Source organism: Homo sapiens, chromosome 9 (genome assembly GCF_000001405.40).
Source record: "Homo sapiens chromosome 9, GRCh38.p14 Primary Assembly".
Lineage (NCBI taxonomy): Eukaryota > Metazoa > Chordata > Mammalia > Primates > Hominidae > Homo > Homo sapiens.
In genome coordinates, this window is record NC_000009.12 from 115,280,846 (window position 1) to 115,305,119 (window position 24,274).

The following is a 24,274-nucleotide window of genomic DNA, read 5'->3' on the forward strand; positions in this document are numbered from 1 at the left end:
GCTCTTAGAAAACTTACTTGATCTGTTGGCTGCCTCACCTATAAACAGAGGCACTGATATCTAATTTGTAGGTTTGTTGTAATGCTCAAATGAGAGGTAACACATAAAACACTTGGCAAACAAAAAAAAAATCTTAATAATAGTAGTAATTTTTTTAAAAATCAAATTTTAAAAGAATTTCAGGGGAATTTAATGGAAGAGGTTCCTAAGGAGTGAACACACTGAAATTCAGAAAGAAGCCCATTAGAATGAAACAACAGATTTCTGGATCTTATCCCAGCTTTTCTATGCCTGTTTCATTTTGTCAGGGAACCTGGAAGTGACCAACAGAAAGCACTCACACTTAAACAAGTCTGCATGTGACGAAAGTCTAAAGCAGAACAGCACTTGATGCATTTATACCTAGAGAGAACCATGATTACCCCATGGGCTTCAGTATGCCTGATTATCTAATTCTTTGCTCTCTACAAAGAAATGTCAACAAGGAGAGTTAAATCTCTACTAGGGAGAGAGTTATTAGAAAATATAGAGTGAAAAATGAGTCAACTAAGGACTTTATTGGCTAGTGTGAAAAACCATGAATTCCTGGTTGGCCTTTTCCATGGTAGGAATAAAATTCTAAAAAATCCCCAAAACCCCAAACAAACAAACAAACAAACAAAAACATGGTATGTTCATGCCAATGAGACAATGTCTATCCTGAAACACTTTCTCTCCCTCCCTTCCTTTCTCCCCGTTTAAGTATACTGAATGAGCAGAATAGGTGGGGGTGGGGGGATCAGAAAAAGGCTATTTTTCATTAAAGCTGCTCCTATGGACCCCATGTCAAATCCTCCATTCCTGCCCCCTCAGATGAAAATCTTTGGCAGCCCAACAGCAGATCTGCTCACTCTTAGAGAAAATCTGTCTTCCATCCATTTCAAACCGCAATGCAATTTCATTTCAATAATCAAAATATCCAGTCCCCTTTATTAAGTCAAAATGTTAAACTTCATTACAATTTAAGTTTCCCTCCTTCTTAGCTCAGAAAGCCTATTGTTGGTAAGGGGTGTGGGTGTAGGTGTCCTTTGATCAGTTGCTTTTATCCTTTTTCTGCAATTTATACTTTTAATTCTTCCTCTCAGTTGTAGAAAATTATGTTCAAGTCAAGGGTGGGGAGGTGAGCTGGGCAGAGAAAGGTTTAGAGACTAGCGTTATCGCGAGCAGGCATCAGTGCTGTCTGGCCTGGGCAGTTTTTTAAGGTGGATTCTCTTTTGGAGTTCTCTGTGCATAGGTGGAGACTCCGCTTTGCCTTTGTCTTATTTCTGGGGGTTTTCTGTATTAGTTTGTTCTCACACTGCTATAAAGAACTACTTGAGATGGGGTTATGTATAAAGTAGAGAGGTTTAATTGACTCACAGTTCTTCATGACTGGGGAGGCTCAGGAAACTTACAATCATGGCAGAAGGTGAAAGGGAAAAAAAGACACATCTTACATGGTGGCAGGAGAGAGATAGAGAGGCGGTGGGGGGAACCACCACTTTTAAACTATCAGATCTCGTGAGAACCCACTCGCTGTCATGAGAACAACATGGGGGAAACCACCTCCATGACCCAATCACCTCCTACCAGGTCCCTCCCTCATCACATGGGGATTACAATTCAAGATAAGATTTGGATGGGGACACAGAGCCCAACTATATCAGCTCTCCTGTATCATGTCAGTGAATACATCTCCTATGGCTGGTTGCTTAAGAGGCTGCACAACCTCTGCTGAGTTTTCATCAGCCCTCCTGGTTCCTCTCTTAAATAAAGCCTGTTCAGACGGCTCCTGCATGGCTAGCTTGCTCTGTCACTTGGATCCATTATCAGTGACATGCAGTGACTTCCCAATCTGTTCTACTCAGCTGCTACAGGCTGCTTCAGTCTACCATCTCCTCTTTAGGTTTTATAGGCATGTCAGTCTGGTCGGTCATGAGTCTCCTGAGCATCCTCCAAACTCTAGGAAATACATGTAGCCTCTTTTATTCATCTCTTTGAAACTCATTTAGATCAAAATGAGGGGAAAATAAGTCTGTCATGGGATGGAAGTGGAGGTAGGACTTAAAGCATGCTTCAGTGACAATCCATCTCTAATGTCCAGCTTAAATTATGTATTCCTTTAATGTATTAGGCTAACACTTGCAAAATCAGTTGTAAGCCATCTCCTTTGTCATTTCTGCATAGATGGACAAGCAGCTTACTTTGATATGTTAATTATTGTTTGGGGCATGTAGCTGAAAATGAGGCTGCATGCCATCAAAACCTCCTGTTACTCTTTATTTCTTTCTACCTTCCTATGTTTATCATTTCACCAGAAAATGTTGCATGCTCTTTAGTTATATACTAGGCACTCTGTTAGATGCTGGGGATATAAAAGAAAGTAACAATGGATATGACAAACAAATAAATGTACTATTATAATACAAGGTAATAAATGCCATTATGGAAGAAAGAGAAGAGTTCTATACCTAGGAAGGTAGAGAGGATAGATCTAACTCTAATCTGTAGGATTGGATAAGCTTTCTATTCTAGTGGGAGGCATTGTCTAAGCTGAAACTTGAAAAACTAATAGAAGTGTTAAGACCAATAATTTGGTTTGAGGGGAAGTATCAAGTAGAATGGAGAATATGTGTGCATAAGCTAGAAGAAAGTAAGAATCTGGTACATTCCAGACAATAAAATCCAATTTGCATGAAATATTTACAGAGAGTGTGGGTGCTGGAGTATGGGATGAGATTAGAAAGGAAATTGCAGTAAAATAATAAAAGTTTAAGACTTTTATGATGAGTACAAATGAAAACGCCTATACTTTTGAGGAAGTGAATCTGTTTATAAATTGTGTTCTTTTAGGTATATTTGGTTACTTTCCATTTCAGAGGATCTATCCTGTTTGTAGTGATTAGAATTGGAAGCTGTTTAAGTCTCCTTAACCATATTTGTCACATACCATCTCATTCTTCCATTAATTTGGCAAGCATATACAGAGTCCCACTCTAGCCAAGTCCTCTATAAGACCCTTTGAACTGGTGGCTCAAGCCTGTAATCCTAGCACTTTGGGACGCCAAGGCGGGCAGATCCCTGAGGTCAGGAGTTCAAGACCAGCCTGGCCAACATGGTGGAACCCCCGTCTCTACTAAAGTGCAAAAATTAGCCGAGCATGATGGCGGGTGCCTGTAATCCCAGCTACTCGGGAGGCTGAGACAGGAGAATTGCTTGAACCCGGGAGACGGTGGTTGCAGTGAGCCAAGATTGCTTCACTGCATTCCAGCCTGGATGGCTGAGCAAGACTCTGTCTCAAAAAATAAAATAAAATAAAATAAAATAAAAAAATGTTCTGTCCATCAAGTCTTGCAGAGGAGACAGAGAAAGAAATCAATGGTGAAAGTTTTAAATTCTATAATACAGGGTCAGCTAGTCTAAATTTTGTAATAGATGTTTTCCATGGGATGATAGAGGAAGAAAATGAAAGAACATGGAAGAATCAAGACGAAGCCAATTTGGAGGTAGGTGTGTGTGGAATAAAAAATACTTCCAAGAGTAGATGATACACCTGAGCCAAGGGCTGAAAAGGTACAGATGTTAGCCAAGTGAGTGATGGGCAGGGAGACCCACTCTAGGCAGAGGAACATCTGTGAAGAGACAGGAAGCACGTGAAGGCATAACATATTCAGGAAAATATCAGTTGCCCAGATTGGCTGGAAGACAGAATGGGTATATGTGGGAATTACAAGAGATGTATTTGGAAAGATAAGTGTAGGTATGTGAGGGAGCAGATCAGGAAAGCCTTGTGTGCCTTATTAAAAAGTGTAGGTTTTCTTACTTTAATTTTGGGAAGGTAATGGAGTCTCTGAGTCATAAAGGCCTCTTTCTGTATCTTTTCTATACTGACAAAGCTTGTTATTACTCTTAATACTTATATGAAGTGTCTAGCTTATGGAAGGTGGGCAGTGACTCTGGGATTCACAAGAGAACTCTAAACTTAAAACCCTTTAGCAATAGCTTGCTGGGGTTGTTATGTAGAGGAATGCAGCAGGAAAACACAGCTTGTCACCAACAGGAGAAGTTCATAGAACTTGCAGTTAAGTGCCCTGGGAAGGTGTGGAGCTCATAAAAACAGGCCAAAACCAGTCTGTCTAAAATGATGCTGAGTGGCCAATGTTCTTCTCTATGTAAGAATTTGGAAGCCCAGGTTACCTTACAAGAGGCTGATATTCTGAGATGCAAACACGATGGGTTTATTGTCTTTTTGTTTTGTTTTGAGACAGGATCTCGCTCTATCACCAAGGCTGGATACAATGGCGCAATCTCAGCTCACTGCAACCTCCATCCACTGGGTTCAAGTGATCCTCCCACCTCAGTCTCTCAACTAGCTGGGACCACACGCATGCACCAACCACCAGGCCTGGCAATTTTTTGTATTTTCAGTTGAGACGGGGTCTCACCATGTTGCCTAGGATGGTCTCAAACTCCTGTGCTCAAGCAATCTGCCTGCCTCAGCCTCCCAAAGTGCTAGGATTATAGGTGTGAGCCACCATGCCCAGACAGCCTTATTTTCTAAATCTCAGCGTTCTCCAAACATTCTAATATGGCTTATTGTTGCTGCGGTGGAAGTTTTGTCACTGGGTTTTTTCCCCCACTCTTTTTCTTCCCCTCTGCCCCAAAACTCTTTGGATACCAGAGCATTGCCTGCTGCCCTTAAAGGGAGGAACCTAGCTGATCTGACTCTGATCCTTTTAGCAGTATGTACTTTAGCATATATATGTGTGTGTGTGTGTGTGTGTGTGTGTGTGTGTGTATGAATACATGCATATAAATATATGTGTATATTTTTTCATATGCATTTATATAGATACATAGCAGGGAGGTAGATGGATGGATGGATGGATAGATAGATACATACATACATACATATATTTGCATGATACCTAAAAGAGGGAAAATAATTACATTTGTCTCTTTTCAAATATGTACAGGAAGTGTAGCCCAGTAAAGGAATCACTTGAGTGTCATTTTTGTTTGTTAAATTTAAATTTTATTATTCCATCTTTTCAACTATGATTCATAGGTTACTAAAAATATCTAAAGTGAATTAAATTTTGGACATTAGGATCTAAAATTTTCACAATACCAGATTTATCCTGGAATGAAATTAAATACAGCTGTTATTTTAGTGGAGGGATGACAGAGTTCTTGTAATCTTCCTATTCTTATTTCAATTTTCTAATTTAGTGTAGATCTTCTTATATTTCTTTCTTTGTGTCTTTTCTCTCAAGAGGCTTACAGTAAGCCTCCATATTAGGAGGCAAGAAAATGAAATTGGGTGGATGGTTCATTGTCACCTCTGGTAATGATGACAAGACTGTCCATGACAACCATCCCTGAAAGTATTCTCCTCTTCCATGGAGTTGGCCAAACTTACCTGACCAGTATGTGAAAAATTTGGTTGAAAAGTTTGGTCAATTTTGGAGGCTCAGTTCTGTCCTTAAAAACGTGTCAGGACTACTAAGATCCATGTTGCCAGAATCTGACAAGAACCTCTTTTCCAACCTGATCACCTCTTTTTACCTCTATCCACCTTACACTTAGCTTCCCAACCTGTGTCTGAATTCCCTGGATTCTTCTCTTTTGTACAAGAAGCCTATGCCCCAGAGAGCTTATCTATGCTTTTCTCTGATTTTCTTCTTTAGTGAAACTCCACACTGTTCCAAGGAATAAATGAGATAATGCATGTAAATGTCTTAGCACAGGCCAAGTGCTCAGTACCCAGAAGAATAAAAGTATTAATAACTGCTGCAAGCCCTATGATGGATTTTAGGAAAATATGAGTCTACCTTAAACCATTTATCACTCCACCTAAGAACATGTATTACTGTAAATCTCTATTAACTGGGTTTCTAATTGGCAATCTATTTTCTTAACGCCTCCACTCCTGGCTCCTCCATTCTCAGTGGGTCACTGTGTTGCAGAAGACAGTTCGTCTTTTCCCAGCAAGAAGGTCCATCACGATGTCTGAGTTCGAATCCAGGTTTTGCTACTTACCAGCTGTGTGACCTTGGACAATTTACCTCCATGGGTCTTAGTTTACACCTCTGTAGAGTGGGGATAATAATAGTGCTTGCCTCATAAGGTAGGGGAAGGATTAATCGGGTTAAAATGTGCAAAGTATTTGCAAACTATCTGGCCCAAGCGATGATCATATGAAGATATATCACTACTATCATGAATCTCCCTGCATTTAGTCCATGACTAACATGAAGCTCCCCAAGAAAGGAAAAACACACACATATAAATGGCTTTCTTAGAAAGGAAACTAATCTACAGAGCTGCACATCTACCCACAAGGAGGACCAATCGTATGCTATTATGCAGAGAATAGTTTATCTTCACATTATCTTGAAATAAAATATAACAGAATCTTGGAATTTTGTTTTTCTCTGAGAAACAAAGTTTCATTAAAGTTTTGGACTTTGCTCCCCCACACAAAGGCACAACAAGCCCTGAAAGATCCATTTGAGTACCCACTCCTACAGAAGCTAGAAAAGTAATTTGTTTATCATTAAAATTAAAAATATCTTGCCAAAACTACTGGAGGACAGTTTCAGCTAGGTTCTCTGATGACATATTAAGTGCACGTGAGATTGTGTAAATTTTCAGTAGCAAGCTCTCAAATCATATTTGTAATGGTAATAATAACTTGCATTACTGTTACATAAATGTTAAGGATTAGAATATATTACTTTTTTTTAGACAGAGTCTCACTCTGTCACTCAGGCTGTAGTGTAGTGGCATTATCTTGGCTCACTGCAACCTCCACCACCTGGGTTCAAATGACTCTCATGCCTCAGCCTTTCAAGCAGCTGGGACTACAGGTGCGTGCCACCATGCTTGGCTAATTTTTTTTAATTTTTATTTTTAGTAGAGATGGGATTTTACCATGTTGGCCAGGCTAGTCTCAAACTCTTGGCTTCAAGTGATCCTCCTGCCTCAGCCTCCCAAAGTGCTGGAATTACAGGCATGAGCCACCACGCCCGGCCTATTACTCTTATGAGTTGAATTTTTGTGTTGCCTAAAATTCATCTGCAAAATGCTAATTCCCTGTGTAATGGTGTTTGGAGGTGAGGCCTTTGGGAGGCAATTAGGATTAGATTATGTTATGAGGACAGGGCCTTCCTGATGGAATTAATGCCCTCCTAAAAACAGGGAGTCATGAGATCCATCTCTGCCTTCCATGTGAGGATACAAGAAGACAGCTGTTTGCAAACTAGGAAGAGATCCCTCACTGGACACCAGATCTGCTGGCACCTTGATGTACTTTCCAGCCTCCAATACTGTGAGAAATAAATGTTTGTTGTTTAAGCCACCCAGTCTATGGTATTCTGTTATATCAGCTCAAACTAAGATAATTACATTAAGCCTAATACAATAACTATATATTTTATACTAATATAACTACCTTCATCACTTTTATTTGATAGTGAAGGAAAGTCTTCTATGAAATTTTCACCTGGGGATCTCATTTGCACTTAAATGATTCCATAATTAAGTTATAAGAGCAGCCTTGCCAGCTTTCTAAAAATCTGCATTTAAATTTCACAGGCTGCTTTTACAACAGGATGGATAATGTACTTTGCTCCTGTCTCATCTCAAGTCTCTCTCTCTCCTCTCTGTCCCTTTCTTTCTGTCTAACATCCATCTGTGCTTTGAAACCTCCTGAATAGGATGTGACAGTATCTGGAAAAGTGTGAGGTCTGTCTGCATTAAGTTGTTGGCACATTTCAATTTTAGGAAAGTCATAAAGCCCTTATAAACTTTCATAATAAAATTATCAAACAACCGCCGGGCGCGGTGGGATTACGCCTGTAATCCCAGCTCTTTGGGAGGCCGAGACAGGTGGATCATGAGGTCAGGAGATCGAGACCATCCTGGCTAACACGGTGAAACCCGATCTCTACTAAAAATACAAAAAAAAAATAGCCGGGCGTGGTGGCGGGCGCCTGTAGTCCCAGCTACTCAGGAGACTGAGGCAGGAGAATGGCGTGAACCCAGGAGGTGGAGCTTGCAGTGAGCCGAGATGGCGCCGCTGCACTCCAGCCTGGGCGACAGAGCAAGACTCCACATATTAAAAAAAAAAAAAAAATCATACAACCAATCTCTACGTATTTTAAGTCACATTATTTCAAGGAAAGAAAAATTACTTTGTGAGTATGTACACTAAAGAATCTAATTTTATTTTTGTGACAAAATTAGTGTGAGATGGTTGTGATACTCTGAGGCTAGCAGAAATGGAGACTCTCTACTGTGAGAATCACATTAAGTTTGTATTTAAAGCACAATTATTAAACCTTCTGAATTATCTGCAGTTAAAATTATTTACATTATACAATGTATATGACTATCAACCATATGAGAATAACATGTGGAATCTGCATGAATTTATATAATAGAAATGTAATGATTTATGATCATTTTGCTCCATTAGAAGATATAAGAAGAAAAAAAATCAATAGATCTCATTCATTCATCAGCTCACAGTGATTAAGGATACTATTGCATAACAGATCAGGTGCTAAGTGCTGGGACACAAAGATAAATTAGACGTGTTCCTCTACATTGTAAAGGACCCTAAAGTTCATCTAATAGTCAGTGATGGAACAGACTCAGAGAGTGGTCTATTTGCTCAAGATCCCAGAACTAGTTCATAGCAGAACTAGGTAAAAATTCAAGTCTCTTGACTCTTAACTTTAGCCTGATATTGAGGCCAAATGACAGCTTTAATTACGACAGAGAAGTATTAAGAATGTCATTTTGGAAAATTCAAAGTCCACTAGAGGAAAACTCATTTCAGTTAGAGGCTGTTTCTTGCAATCTATTTCTAATTCTTGGTCTTAGGCCTCCCATGTGTACTGACAGCTGGTAATATATTTGGGTCTTTGAAGAAAGCAACAGGACCTGTTTCTTTCTACGCACTAACTGTGGCTAAGCAACAAGACCTACTCTCTACTGGCAACAGAATTGGAACCCTTAACTTCCTGTCAGCCACAGCCCACACTGGATTTCCCTAGAATTTTCTAGAAGCAAATGGCTACCACAGGAAGAAAACCATAGAATTCAGCTGGAAACCATCCAAATTTCCTCATCCTAAGCTTCATCTCCAGCAAGCCTCAGTCAAGGAGACCCACACCACAAGGCTATGACATAATTCTTGGTTGCCTGCCAAAATAGAGAAAAAAGGATGAAAAGGAAGAGTTTTTATTGCAAAAAGACAGCTTAGGGAATTTTTTCTTAACTTAGTGAGATGGAATCCTGAGACAAAGATTTGTTAGAGATAACTTGTGTAGGGGTATTAAACTCAACAGAGATAAAGGGAGATGGGTGAGTAATAAGAAAAATAAATTAACCCTTGGTGTTTTCTTCAGGCAATGCTGAAAACACACACACACACACACACACACACACACACACACACACACACACACAAAAAAAAAAAAAAAAAAAAAAAAAAAAAAAAAAAACCTTATGCCCACCACATCATCATTTGTATCTTAAGTAAATGCTTGGGGAAAGGGGTTGAGCCAGGAAGGAAGAACAGGTGTTGTACATCGAACCAAGCCTAAATATTTGGTATGGAACAGTTGAAGATTTAAGATTGTAACTCCAGAACTTCTGATCACTTTTTTTGTATTGTTAAGGGTAGCAACTGAGATTAGATAACTCACTTGCTGAAGGAAGCACATTCTTGGCTCTGTGCGACATTCACTGTGCCATGAGCTGCTAGTGCTTACTGATACCCATGTGCTCTTTGGCATTTCCCAGTCTCCCTTGCACTTGAGCTGACCATGTGACTATTTCTGACCAATGGACTGAGAGTAGAAGTAATGTGGTCACTTCTGAGGGAGGTAGTTAAGTATCAAGTGTGACTCCCCTCAACTCTTCGACTCCTTCCTGCACCCCTGCAGCTGGAAGAGGAGGCTTGGAGATGGTAGAAACATAAGATGGAAGGGGTCTAGATGGCTGGATGACTGCTTGAGGAGAGTTATTCAAGACTGCTACTTAGCTGATGTCAGACTCTGAGTAAGTAAGAAACTTTTGTAAGATACATAAAAGTTTAACTGTAGGAAGAAAAGTCATTTTTATCCATGAAAATAAAAGATGCCTAAGATGTATGTTTTCAAATTATATTGGGATTTATATATTTCACTTTATATAAACTCAAAATCATCAACATATGCCTTTGTTCACTTGCTTCTCTGAACTTAGAAAGTCTGTAAATAAATGTAATGTCAAAAGCTGAAAACACCCAAAGCTACTGTGATTTGTGGATTGTTACAACAGTTAACGAGAAATATACATACACTAAATGTGTTCTCCTCATTTTCTTGTGTGTACTGCTCCAATCTTTTTCAGATGTAACTGCTTCCCCAGGTTAAGGGGAGAGTAACTCTGCTCCCTGTTCTGGGATAAAATCCTCTTTGGTCTCTTGGCCATTCCCTTTGCCAGTGACTGGTTTAGGAGTAGAGATGGGACTCAATAGTTACACTTTCTGGGGGCCTCTGAAAAAGATTTTCTTGTTCTTACAGAAAAGTCACAGATTGAAATTGCTCATTTCTGAATAGAAATGGAGATTTGGAGGGAGAGGTAATGCGGCAAAAAACTCTAAAGTGGTTGCTTAATAAAGTGAGGTAATTTTCATTGTCTAGTCAAAATGCCAACATACCAAATATGGTTGATTGGGGCCCTGAAACTGAGGACGAGAAGCAAGGGGAAAGAGAAGGTCCCAAGAACACTGTGGTAAGCAGGGATTGACAGAGAAATATCTCCCTAAGGAGGGCAATGGCCCCTGACCTATTAGAATAATAATACCTGCCCCCTAATTTTAAATTGTTTCATGTGTCATAATGTCCTTTTGTTATTGCAGATCCTTGTGCATACAACTGACTTGTGTGGGTGAGGCTTGCAGAAAAAATCAGCTAGAACAGCCTTGGGGGTAGTGGCAAGGTGGCCAGAGCAATTGACTGGGAGCTGGGAACAGGAATGAAGAGGAAGAGCTGATAAGAAACATGCCCAGAGCAGGTAAGCACCTCTATCCCTCCAATCTTCAAAAGCATGCCGGGCGGGCGGATCACACATTAAGTTGGAATGTAAACAGAAGTAAAGGAGTATGAAGAACACTATAGCAAGGAGGAAAAAAAGCCACACATTTTGTGCCAGACAGACTTAGTTTGAAATCCTATTTATAGATTTTGTTTCATTAGGCAATTTATTTCATTCTCTGAGCTTCAGGGGAATCTTAGTCATTGCAGTTCTATTACTTAACAAAGTCTTTAACAGTTTTCCACTTACTATGTAACATATATATTTATAACATCTTGTCTAGGATGCAGAAGAGCTGTATCTTGTATTTCCTTTGCTACATTCAGATGTTCTCATAGGTTGCTTCATGTGTAAAATGAGGACAATGCCATTGTTATACTCTGAACCAAGTTATTGGAGGAAGCAGTGTGACAAGCACCTCGTAAACCCTGTTAAATGTGCAGATAAGCTATTAATAGAAATTATTGCACCAATTTGATCTGAAGACTCTTCCAGCTTTGCATGATAGATGCATTGTCATGTCTTATGTTTTGTAAACAGCCACACTTCACCACTATTTAGATAAAATGTGACTAAGTCAACCTTAGTTTCCAGACAACCCTGGATAGTTTTTACTTTATCTTGTATTTGGACTGGCGTTGGGACCTCTTTAGCTGAGAATTCCCCTCCCCTCTGTGAGCCATTAGCTGAGAAGCACCATTGTCAGAAATTCTGAGGATGACCTGTCACCCCCACAGCCTTGCCCTTTCTGACTTTTCAGCCACCCGCCCACCATCCCCATCTGGTTGAGGCCTTGGTCAGTGTGGGAGAACAGGAGGAATCTACTTAGCTGAGTCATGACCCAGGTCTAGCTTATGGTATAAAACCAATTAAAGCCCCTTTATCTGTGGCCTGATCCATCACATGGGGGTATTGAGGGAGGTGAAATTCCAGCCTCATTTCTCTTGGCAGCTTCTGTGAAGGGGTAGGGTTCCTGGTGGTCATGGAAAAATAAAGCACACAGAAAAGGGGGCTGATTGCTTTCACTTCATTCCTGCTGCCTCCCCCAGAAATGTTCTCTGGCCAAACCAAATCCCAGGGCTCCCAGAAGACCCAATGTACCCAAAGCCAAGAGCAACTCCTACCTCGCTGCCGCTACTTACTGTCCCCAAAGGGCCTATCTAGAGGATCTGGTCAGGAAGCTTAAAAATAGTTGAGTGTGTGGTGACAAGCCTTGTGGATTTCCTTTGTAAAAATATTCCAAGCAGGGAAATAAACCTTTCAGCAACTTATTTTTCCATTGCTCTGTGGAGCAGCTCCCACTCTCTGCTGCTATAAGTACTTCAGGTAGCTTGTGGGTGGTAGTGGTGGTAGGGATGCCAGAGGGGAAGTGGAGGGGAGATGTGTCTTGCTCAGAGAACCAGGTTTAGGGGGCCAGCAACTATTAGGATCTAGAGGCAACATAACATTTCTGCACATTCTGTATACAGAAGGAAATGTAATTCCAAGCTGCTGAGTTTGGCACATGAGGCCTTTCCAGATCTAGCTGTGTCCACTGCCCCAGCATCATAAAGTGTCAGTATCAGCAGTTGCCCCATCACATTATGATGCTTGATTCCTATATGGCTTCCCATCCTCTGTTCCTTCCACTGGGAACCTGGACCCTCACCATCATCCCCAGTCATCATCCAACCTGCCAGTCATTAAAATCCAGCCCAGAAGTCTGCCTTCTCAGTGAAGTCTTCTCTGGCCTAAGAGTTAATCACTGTTTTCTGAACAACAATTCTGTCATCATTGCATTTATCATATGGTGGGGTGTTCCCTCATGGGGTTTGTTTTCTATGCATCTTCATGTTTTTGCAGCTGCGTACAGGATCTGGCAATGATCACTACTGCCGAACAGGTTAATCGAGCAATTTGAAGATGGCAGTATTTCTGCCAAAGAAGACAAAAAGACAGAACGACCAGTTTACAGGCAGCTTAGATAAATGCAGGTTTCCATGAGGTTAAAATTTTGTGGAATGCTCATGTCCACTTCACATTTCTGTCAGTAAATTACTGTGTTAGAAGTTGTCCCAAATAACACTGCGAAGAACTTTGAGAACTTTTGAGTTAACAAAGAACCTTATCATCTTTTTCGTTTTCAGCACTCCCTTGAGTTAAGATGTTATGACCCCATTTTTACAAATGTGAAAACAATTTCCACAGAGGAGGTAGAAGAGGAGAGATAGAGCTGAGACTCAACTCTGATTGCCTGTATCCAGTTTTTTCTTTCCACAAATGACCAAAAAGTACCAAAAAACAAAGAAACTATGAGAAAAATGCTTTCTAATAGTTGTTTACTATTATGATTATAACTACTAGAAAATATAAAGCCCACATAAGATTTTATGTCTCCAAATTCAAGAAAATCACCAAAGGGCAAGGCATAGAGTAGCAGACAATAGGCTGCATCCTCACCTGGATCCCGGAAGGGCTTGGCCATCCTCACTGATGCTATGGCAGCACTGATACCTGCCAACTACTCTCAAGGGACAGGACAGCATGGTGGTTCAGAGATCAGGCTCTGGAGCCAGATTGTCCAGGCTTCAATCTCAGCACCCCACCTATTTCTATGGGGTCTGGTACATGTTAATCTCTCTATACCACAGTTTCTCCATCTTTAAACTGGTGGTAGTAATTAGACCTGACTCACAGAATTTTGTAAGTTAATAGTATGTAAAAGATTAAATGGCCCAGATACAGTGGCTCATGCCTGTAACCTCAACACTTTGGGAGGCTAAGGCAGGAGGACTGCTTGAGTCCAGGAGTTCGAGACCTGCTTGGGCAACATGGCGAAACTCTGTTTCTACAAAAAAAGAAAAAAAATTAAAAATTATCCAAGTGTGGTGGCATGTGCCTGTAGTTCCAGCTCCTTGGGAGGCTGAGGTAGGAGGATCACTTTAGCCCAGGAGGTTGAGGCTGCAGTGAGCCATGATGGAGATATTGCATTGTAGCTTGAGTGACAGAGAACCTGTCTCAAAAAAAAAAAAAAAAATTAAAAGATCAATCAGTGTTATCTACTATGTGCCAGTTATTTACCATGACACCATCAGATTCTTTATCTTTCATTCTCATAAGAACTAATTTAGGTATTATTATCTCTATTTTATCTATGAAATACCTGGGGCTACAAGGTTAGATATTTTTCCCAGTGGGAGTTCTGGGTTTTGGATCACAATTATTGTGAATTTAAAATTCTATATACGTCATCTCTTACAATAACAAAATACTCAATTAATTTTCTTTTCATGGATCCTGGAAACAGCCCTCCTTTGGGACCTTACTGAAGGCTTAGATACATGGCTTAGACAATCTGTGGAGGTCCAAGCGGCAAGCTTGATAAACTGGGATTTCCTGAGCTCTTGTCAGCTTCTCAAGTCAGAGTTAATGCTGAAAGTTCTACATGGGGCATGGGTGTAGCTTAGATAAATACCCAGAGGCTTGGGAGGTAGAGTGAAAATATTTTGAGCTGGCAAGTCTGTTCAATTAATATGTACTTGGGAGACATTTTCAAAGCTGACAGATCTTTTGTAAGTGCCAAGTGATATTAATTATTAGTATAAAAGCAGATCCCACCAGTGGAGTCAGAGACACCCAAATTTATGTGTGTTCGGGTGTATCATCGGGTTGTGAGGTTGAGGATGCCAACGCTTCTAGCTGTGAGGGCAAAATTTAGCAAATGAGTGTACCCTAGGAATGAGGCAAGAAGAGTCTGAACCTCTTCTTTGTGTAGTGCAGAAATCTGGTCTTGTAGGAAAGAGTTGCTCTCAGTCTTGCCAGAGTCCTGCTCAGAAGGTAAAAGTCTAGTGGGCTGCCCAAAGGGAAGGTGTGCAATATATAGCCTTATAGCCTGGGTTGAATCAGGCAAAACAAGAGAAATATGGCTAATGTTTTACCAGAGGATAAAGCAGGGCCATAAATGAGAGAAAAATGAACCCTGAGCTCAGAGGTGGAAACAATATACAACCTGTCAGGAAGTCAAGTCCAGTGTAGGTCTGGAAAGTGCTTCAGAAGGGAGTAATGAATAGTGTGAGGTCCTGGCAGCTCTGAGAGTGCAGGCTGCCTGCCGCTTGGTGGAGGATGACCTGGTCTCTTACAGCCTTTTCAGAGAGTCAGGTAGTTCCCCTCCGTGAACCTAACAGCTTCTGTGTCTTCTCCAGGTGAATTTCACTTTACATCTTCAGGCATGTTTCTGATTTTTTGCGGGGGACAGAGGGGAGGAGGGAAAGAAGAATTTATTCTTGGAGGTAGATGATCCATTCTTGGATCCATACTCTTTGTGGTAGATGATCCATTCATGAGCTCTCTATGACTGTGGGTGAGGTATTTCTTTTCTTTTGTAATCAGTTCCTGATCCGAAAAATTAGGAATGGGCTCAGAATGTTCCCTGTTTTCTTCCATTGCCAACTTTCCATAATGTACAGAACTGGCAATTCCTTTCTTTTGCTAATTCTGCAAAACCTAAGGGTCTTTCTGAGATGTCCCGTGGGCTAGTTGAGTAAATCTGGGAATACCTAGTAACTAGGGCTGTGTTAAAAAGGACATTTTTGGTTTTATCTGTTTTAGGGTTCATTAAAGTTTAATAAGCTATCCTTGGGGGAAAATAATGCATACATATACAATTATTTATATATGTGGTTTATCCCTTTTGTGGAATACGGTTTTGTGTGGGCTTAATTATTTAAAAGAAATTTATGGCAGGTTATAAAGCCAATTTTTGCAATGTAAACAACTCCCACTCATTGTTTTGAAATTATTGAATTTTATTAACAATAATTATACCTTGTATCTATGAAGCACATTCGATTTTATTAAATCTAGTTGTTTGTGTAATAACGGGTTCAGAAAACACCTGTGAACTAGGCTTTTTTCTTTTGAAATTGCTTTATTGTTTTCTTTCAGTCATAAAATGAATACATAACAGCAGGGTGCTATATTAAATATTTACTTATTTTCTTCTAGTGAAGAGAGAGCCAGACACTACACTACCATGGTCATTCTTGGGAGAATGATTCACTTTTGAGGCAAGAATGTGGCTCTCTTTCCCAAAACGGATGTAGAGGTCTATCACCAGAGGCAATTGGTTCTCCTTGTTAGGGAAATAAGCTTCACAATTCTTATGCCTCTGTTGTAGTGAACCACATTCTCTCAAAGAGTTCAGGGAAGAAGAGAAAAGTATTCAGGGTGGAGGAGAAGATTCATTACTGGCAGGAGGTGATTGAGCCACTGCCTCTGGCACAGCACTCCTTGGTGGGCTTGCCTTTTGGCTCTGGATGGAGCTGAGCAAGCTAAGCTTGTAGGTCTCTGGCCTGAAAACCTAGGAACATTGCAGCCACAAGCTTGGCATTGAGGGAGTGGAAGCCCTATCCTCTGAGAAAGCACATGGATGGCCCATGCAAGGAACCTGAATCAGCAGTAGCCAAGTGACATTTGCATAACTCTTTGTCATGGATAAGCAAACTTTGTGGAAAGATGCAGATTAAATAAACATTTTGGGCTTTGTGGGCCACATAATCTCTATTGTAACTACACAGCTTTGCCACTGCCATGTACATTGAGCAACAGCATGGATGTTACTATGTTTCAAACAAAAACTCTGTTTACAAAAAGTTAGCGGGCTGCATTCAGTCTGTGGGCCATGGTTTGCTGACACCTGGCTTGGGATATTCCCAGAAGTAGAGTTGCCATGTCAAAGTGTACACTCTTTTCTAGATTTTTCTAGATGTTTTCAAGTCACCCTCCAGAAGGGTAACTGAATTGAATCCTTACCATCTGCATGAACGTACTTGTTTCTCTCTATCATCCTCAATACTAGGTATTTTCATTTTTTTAAAAAAGGCTTGGCCAGGAGGCTCATGCCTATAATTCTAGCACTTTGGGAGGCCAAGGCAGGCAGGTCACTTGAGGTCAGGAGTTTGAGACCAGCCTGGCCAACATGGTGAAACCCTGTCTCTACTAAAAATACAAAAATTAGCTGGAAATTGCTTGAACCTGGGAAGTGGAGGTTGCAGTGAGTGGAGATCGTGCCATTGCACTCCAGCCTGGGCGACAGAGTGAGACTCCGTCTCAAAAAAAAAAAAAAACAAAAAAAAAAAAACAAAAAAAAAAACAGGAAAGCATCTGTACTTTAATTTTGCATATGGAAAATGGAAAACATTAACCAAAGTGTTAATTTTCTTTTTCTCACTGAAGTCCACAAAGCAAGAAATTGACAAATTTGGGGTTACTACATGGAACTTGTAAAATCAAATCATATTAATATATTTGGTGTGGAGAGTCTCTGCAACAGGAGGATGGTGTGTGTGGGGGAGAGTACCTACAGTGGAGGGAGAGGTTGGAGAGTGTGTCACAAGGATTGTGGTGGAAAAGATCGTTTGGCTGCTTCATGATTGAATGGGCATGCGGCTGATCAAGGTAATCCCAGCAGATGAGCTGCTTGGGATCCTTCATTACCAATGGCCCACCTAAGGTGAATCTTCTAGGATGTTATATGACCTATGTAGGATAACCCTTGCAAGAGAAATATGTTGGCTTAAATTTATGTGTCCCTTCCCTCTACTGTATATCTTCCCAATAGGACCCAGGCATCAGAAAAAAGAAAACTCATTGGAGATTTTAGGCTGAACTCTTTGGACTCTTCAAGGATGGGAGAACTGTTGACTCACTTGTCAAGATTCTCTTTTGTTTTCTGATTTTTTTCTATGACCAGCCATACACTAGCCAAAGAGGTGAACTAATAGAGTACTCTCTTTGGAGACACACATCTGATTTGAATCCTAGCTCAACCCTATAGTGGCTGTGTAGACTCAGACCTAGTCTCTCTAAGCCCATTTGTTTTAATGTAAAATAGGCACAATAACGTCTCCCTCTTAAGGTGTTTGTAAGAATTCAATCATCACATGTCTGGAGAGTGTCTAGGCAAATGGGAGGTATTATGTGTCCAACTCCAGGACATTGCTCATAAACCTGTGATTTAGCTCATAGAGCACTGGGCACCTAAGGAGATCAAAAGATCTGGATTGCACTGACTACATCAGGTGGCCAAGGATTGGTTGGATTAGTGGGGCCTCTCAAATCACATTTCACAGGGAACAATCCTATGGAGAGTGATTAGGAATTAGGTTCACCAATCTATTTTGAGAGGATTTGGTTTGGTCCAGCCAATATTTTGAAGTACTCACAATGCCAGGTTCTTTGCTTCGTTCTTGAAATGTAGATATGAACCAGGAATTAATTCTGGTGCCAAGGAACTTCACACTGTAGAGATGGATATGAGCAATTACCAAAAAATATTCTAAATATTATCTGATAAAGTTTTTAATGGAGGAAATCATAGGATGTTACCAAGGCAAAGAGGAAAAAATCCCTAACTTAGATCATTGGGATTAGGGATGGTTTCTCCTAGGGGACAAAAGAGCTTAAGTCTTCTTGATGAAGGTGTGGTATATATTTGAATGTGAAGGCATTAAATTGAATGATGCATATAAGAGAATAGAATAAGTATTGTGTTGTAGGAGACATAAGATGAAACTTGGGGGATAGCAAGAGATGTCAGTTATGAAAGGCTGATCAAAGTCTTCATTCTTTGAAAGCCATTGAAACGTTTTATACAACAGAGTGACAAGATCAGATTCATGTTTCACAAATATCTTTTTGGTTTCAGGGTGGAGGATGAATAGAATGGTGAAACCAGAGGCAGAGATACTAGTTAGGAAGCTAGTTCAGTAATTCACATGAGAGATGGTGGTGGCTGAATTAGGGAAGTGGCAGTGCAGAAGGGGAAAGGGATCTATGCAATCAATATTAATTGGTAAATTTGGCAAGATTGGGCATGGGTTGCATATGGAAAATGAAAGAGAGTGAGAATAATTCCCAAGAGTCTGATTTGAGCATTGGGTGGTTGGGGCGGGAAGTGAGGGTGGGGGCATTCCTTGATACCTGAACAATGGAGGGGGTAGAGATGATGAGTTTAGAAAGCAGAAGAGAGACTTCAACCAGGAACTTCTGGGCTTGGAATCAGGTTCCATGGCTTCTGACAAACTGTGCTGACTATGGGCAAATCACTCTCCCTCTTTAGCTTTAGTTTCTCATTTTATCATGCAAGTAAATATTAGACTGAAGAGAGACTCCCAAACATGTATCTGTGGTCACACAACTGTAGACTCTGATTTACTAAGTCTGGTGTGCAGTCCAAGAATCAGTATTTTCAAAAGTTTCCCAGGTGATGCTGTTGTCCAACAGGTTTCAAGCCCTTTGGAGCAGGAGATCCTTGAGGATTCTTACAGCTCAAGCATCTCTTAATGCAGTTTCCTCCTAGCTCTTGCTCCTTCCTGCTGACTCTGCAGATATGAGCTGGCATCTAATATCCAGTGTGGCCTTCACAGACACTACCATGCATGCCAGTATCCACAGTGTGTCTCACTTTCTCTGTCCCTGCACCCCTTCCTCCACTCATCACACGGATTGGGCAGGCAGAAAAAGCCAAGAGTATTACCCTTCACATAATTGGCACCAAGGCAACTCCCTGCCATGTTTTTCCTTCCCAAAGACATATGGTTGATTTCCCACCAGGATATTGTATAATAAACCACTTCTGTAGCTCATTGGGATGGAGGGTTAGTGATTTTGTTCCAAGTGTGGTGGTAAATGCATTTTTTAAAAGGCCTTCCCTAAACTTAAAGTTTTAGTAGACAGAACACATCCAAGAATTGAGCATTTATCTTCCACATGTGCCGGGAGGACATGTTACTTATCTTCTCTCTTGGTACTTCCACTGATCCCACTTCCTGCTATGGATGAGCTCAGCAGACATGGCATGTAGACACATGGGGAAAAGTCATCAACACATCTGAAAAATTAGTAATGGCTTGGCCATCAACAGAGAGGCTTAGGTGTTACTTCTTACAACCTACAAACAGCATTAATTACACTGAAATCTCCAGGCTGGACCAAGAAGAGGATCCCCTTACACCACACATAAGTGCATTTGCCTGGAGTGAAACAGCACAGGTCTTCCTCTCACTGCAAGGCTGTGATCAATTCTTGGCTCCCAAACCCAAAAGGGATGTGGAAATCTGGTGGGAACTGTAAAGGCCTGGAATATAAGACTTATGTGCACAGATGAAAGGCAGCAGGCTTGTTCAGCTGGGAGGAACTGTAGGATGGCTTAATTATAACCTCCTGGTCTATAGCGAGTTCTTAGATCACTGATGAGGTAAACCCGCTGCTGGATCCCAAGCTGGGAGCTACAGCAAGGACTCAAACCTATTTATCTTTTATTTTTCTATGGTGTTTGGGATGCAGCTCTGAATAAAGTGGTGGCTGAGGAAACTGATTCAGCAACTGCATTTCCAGATCCTTTTACAGCAGAAAGAGCTTAACTTTGGGGTAATTCAAACCTGAGTTTGAATTCCAATTACACAAATTACAAACTGTAACTTTGGATATTTCAACTGCGTACATTGTAATTTTCTTAACTATAAAATAAGGTTAAAATATTGACCACATAGGGCTATTTTGGGGAATGAGAGAGAGAGAGAGAGTAGGAGTAGTCTCTTATCTAGTACAGAGCCTGGTAAGTTCTTTAAGTATTTTCAGAGTGAAGGATTAGATAAAGCTATGGAGAACGTTTAGACAGACTATGGTAGACAAGCTAGTAGGGTGATTTGACGTCTCAATTTGCCTTGGATGGTGCTAGCTTAAAAATTCAGCAGGCATGCAAAAGGGTCTCAGATTGAAGGGACAAAGTGATTTCCCTGTAGCCTCTGAATAACTTAAGCTCTGTGGTTTGCAGGAACTTAGTGATGTGGTCATGCATAGTGTGCGTGTGTGTGTGTGCGTGCGCATGTGTGCATGTATGTAATATCTTATGTCTACTACTCTGATGTCTTTTGAGCTTCTTGGAAACTTGGATAATATCTAATTTATCTCTTCATTTCTCTTTATCCCTAAATCAGCAAATGTGTGAGGAGAACCAATGGTAATTATATGCCTTGTATAATATGAGAACAGATGGAAAAATAAACAAACACCAAATCTCACTTCCTCCTGTTGCTTACCTTTTAGTGGCAGTGTCAGATTTTTCTCCTGGACTCCTTCTCCTAACTATAATTTAAAAAATGTATTTCATCATGCAACTTATTTATTTTAAAAATCTAAAGTATTACAGATAACATGGAAGCTCTTATCCCTAATATCATTCCCCCTTCTCTAAAGGCAATCACCAATATGAATTTTATTGTGTATCATTGCAGCCCCCATTTTCTATGTTTATTATGAGATATATCCACTAATAATACATATGGTTGCTATTTCTTACCTATTTACAGAACTATTTCATACTACAGTTTTTAACAACTTGTTTCCCCTTTGTTACTCAAGATTGCATTTTTGATATCCATTCATGTCTTTACACATAGATCTAATTAATTCATTTTGATTTTTGTTATTGTAAATTCCATGAATATATTACAATTTATTTACTCATTCTTTCTCCACTGAAGGACATAAAGATTGTTTCCAATTTTTCTTCATTGTAAACAGACACTGCTATAATGAACATTCTGGTTTATGTGCAGGCATTTCTCTGAAGTAGAATGAGAAGTCATTGGGCATGCACATTTTAACAATTTCACGATCTACAGTCAAATTGCTCTCCAAAGTGATTGTACTAATTTAGACTCCCACCAGCAGGGTAGGAAAGTTCAGTTTTCTCATGTCTTTACCAACAGTTGCTATTGACAGACTCTTTAATGCTTGTCAAACTATTTGGTGTAAAATGCTTCACTGTTGTTTTAATTTGCATTTCCTTTATTTCTAGTGAGGATAATAATCTATTCATATGTTCACTGGCTCTTCTGAATTGCCTGTTCCCATCAATTGCCAACTTCTGTGTTATATTGTTGGTTCGTTTAAACTGATACATAATTTCTCTACCTATTCAAGATAATCTGTGTTTGTTTTACACGTGTGTTTGTTTTACACGTTACAGACATATTTTCTAAGCCTGCCATTTTTTTAAGTATGTTTCATGGTGTGCTTCGTAATGGGGAAAATCTTAATTTTGATGCACTTGGTTTTATCAATGCTTTCCTATAAATTGCTAGTGTTTGAGAGTTTTCTAAGAAATTTGATTTTTATCTCTTAGTCAAAAATTGTTATCCTACATTCTCTTCTAATTAAAAAATCCCATTTGCAGTTTTATTTAGTTATTTTTGTCTATAAAGTGAGTTCCGAATGGGAAACCAGGTCATTTACTGCACTTTTTTCCTTCCCACTGATTTATAATGCCACCTCTGTCATACACCAGGCTCATATGTGTTTCAGCTTATTTAAGGGCTTCAAATTTTATTTCATTAACTTGACTTTTTCTCTGCTCCAATATCATTCTTTTAATTTTATGACTTTAAACTGTTTTCATGGATAGGTAGTCAAGTTCTAGCTCATTTTTTCCCCTCCCCTCAGAATTATCTTTGCTGATCTTTGTTGTTTGCATATTCAAATGGAGTTTAGAATAAGTGCGTAGAGTTCTGAGAGAGAAATCTTGTTGAGATTTTATCTGAAACCTCATTAATTAAATATATTGATGATTTGGATCAAGTTAATAGCTTTGTGATTTTAAATATCTCCACTCATGGAAATGGCACAACTCTCCATATATTTTGTTTCCCTTATGCTGCTTATTTCATAATTTTGTATACAAATTTTTGCATATATGTATTTTTAAATTTATTCATAAACACCTTTTTTTGCTTTTATGCCTGTACTTATATTGCATTATTACTGATATGTATATATTCTTCCACCCTTGTGAGATCTTAGAGTGACTTTGCTAGTTTAGTCAGTTTTTCTTAGATTTATTATATTGAGGACCTTATATATGATCTCTAAATATATACTGATAAGCTTAAATTCTTAAGTATCATTTATTTTTCTTGCCTTATTACGTAATTAGGGCATCCAGTTGACTAGTAAAAGTAATTATAAAGACTCTACTATTTTCTTTTCTTGACTTTAATAGAAATGCTTTTAAAGCTTCATCATTCATTATTATATCTATAGTAGTTTTTCGCTAGATGTTTATTTTTAAAGAAAGTTTCTTGTTACTGATAGATTGCTAAGAATTTTGTCATGGATTCATTTTGAATTTTATTCCTTAATTTTATGTATCTATTGATAAATCTATTTTTTCTTTTAGTTTGCTCATATATTGAATTAGCCTACTTTGATAGATTTTTTTTCCTAGTTAACCATACCTGCCTCTTTTTTGATGAATTTTAATAGGCCATTATATTTGTTTGTTAGTTTTAGTGAAGGGTTAGGTTTATTATGCTTGGATTTTACTTAAGATGTTTAATGAATTTTAATAGGCCATTATATTTGTTTGTTTGTTTTAGTGAAGGGTTAAGTTTATTATGCTTGGATTTTACTTAAGATGTTTAAAATTAAGATTTTTTTGCCATCTGTAACTTTATTTTATTGTACATTTTTTGGAGTGGGGATCTTATGTTAATATCTCTTCTGACCATTCTATTAGGTTGGTGCAAAAGTAATTGCAGTTTTTACCAATTTCAATCTAATAATCTATTAGTCTATAATAATTTCAATCTATAGTCTATTAGATGACTACTATTATCTACTAGATTATTCCACCTACTATTTTTATTGTACATGCTAGAGCTTAAGAAAATTTTTCATCTTAGACTATGCTCTAATTATATCACCTGTGTGCATTTTTCCCATTGTAAAACAAATTGTTTTTCTTTTTGATATATATTGGCTGGTGCCAATTGTTCTCTCAGAGAAGTAAATGGGATCTTTAAGGAAAAAAATATCTAGGTTTCCCACATTTAACTTACTAATCTTAGCAATGGCTAATAGGGAAATTCCCAGATGAATCAAGGAAATATCTCACCTTCCACAACAATAATTTATTAATTATAATTAATCAGATTGGTAGCTAACTGTGTGTTGGGCACTGGGCTAAGTACTTTATTTATATACATGATGTTATGTATTTGCAAAAATCATATGGTATAAGCAGTGCTAGTCTCAGTTTAGAGATAATAAAATTTGGATTAATGGGGTTTAAGTTACTTGCTCAAGTGTGCATAGGTGGTAAAGTGGTGATTTTTATCCATTC

General features: G+C 39.2%; 1 long non-coding RNA gene across 1 annotated transcript in view; it reads left to right on the forward strand.

The window, feature by feature from the left end:
- The window catches only part of DELEC1 (deleted in esophageal cancer 1), a 260,827-nt gene that overhangs the window by 139,028 nt on the left and 97,525 nt on the right, over positions 1-24,274 (forward strand). Inside the window, exon 3 of the long non-coding RNA NR_163556.2 lies at positions 10,937-11,091. This is a non-coding gene — a long non-coding RNA (deleted in esophageal cancer 1). The remainder of the gene's footprint in view (positions 1-10,936; positions 11,092-24,274) is intronic.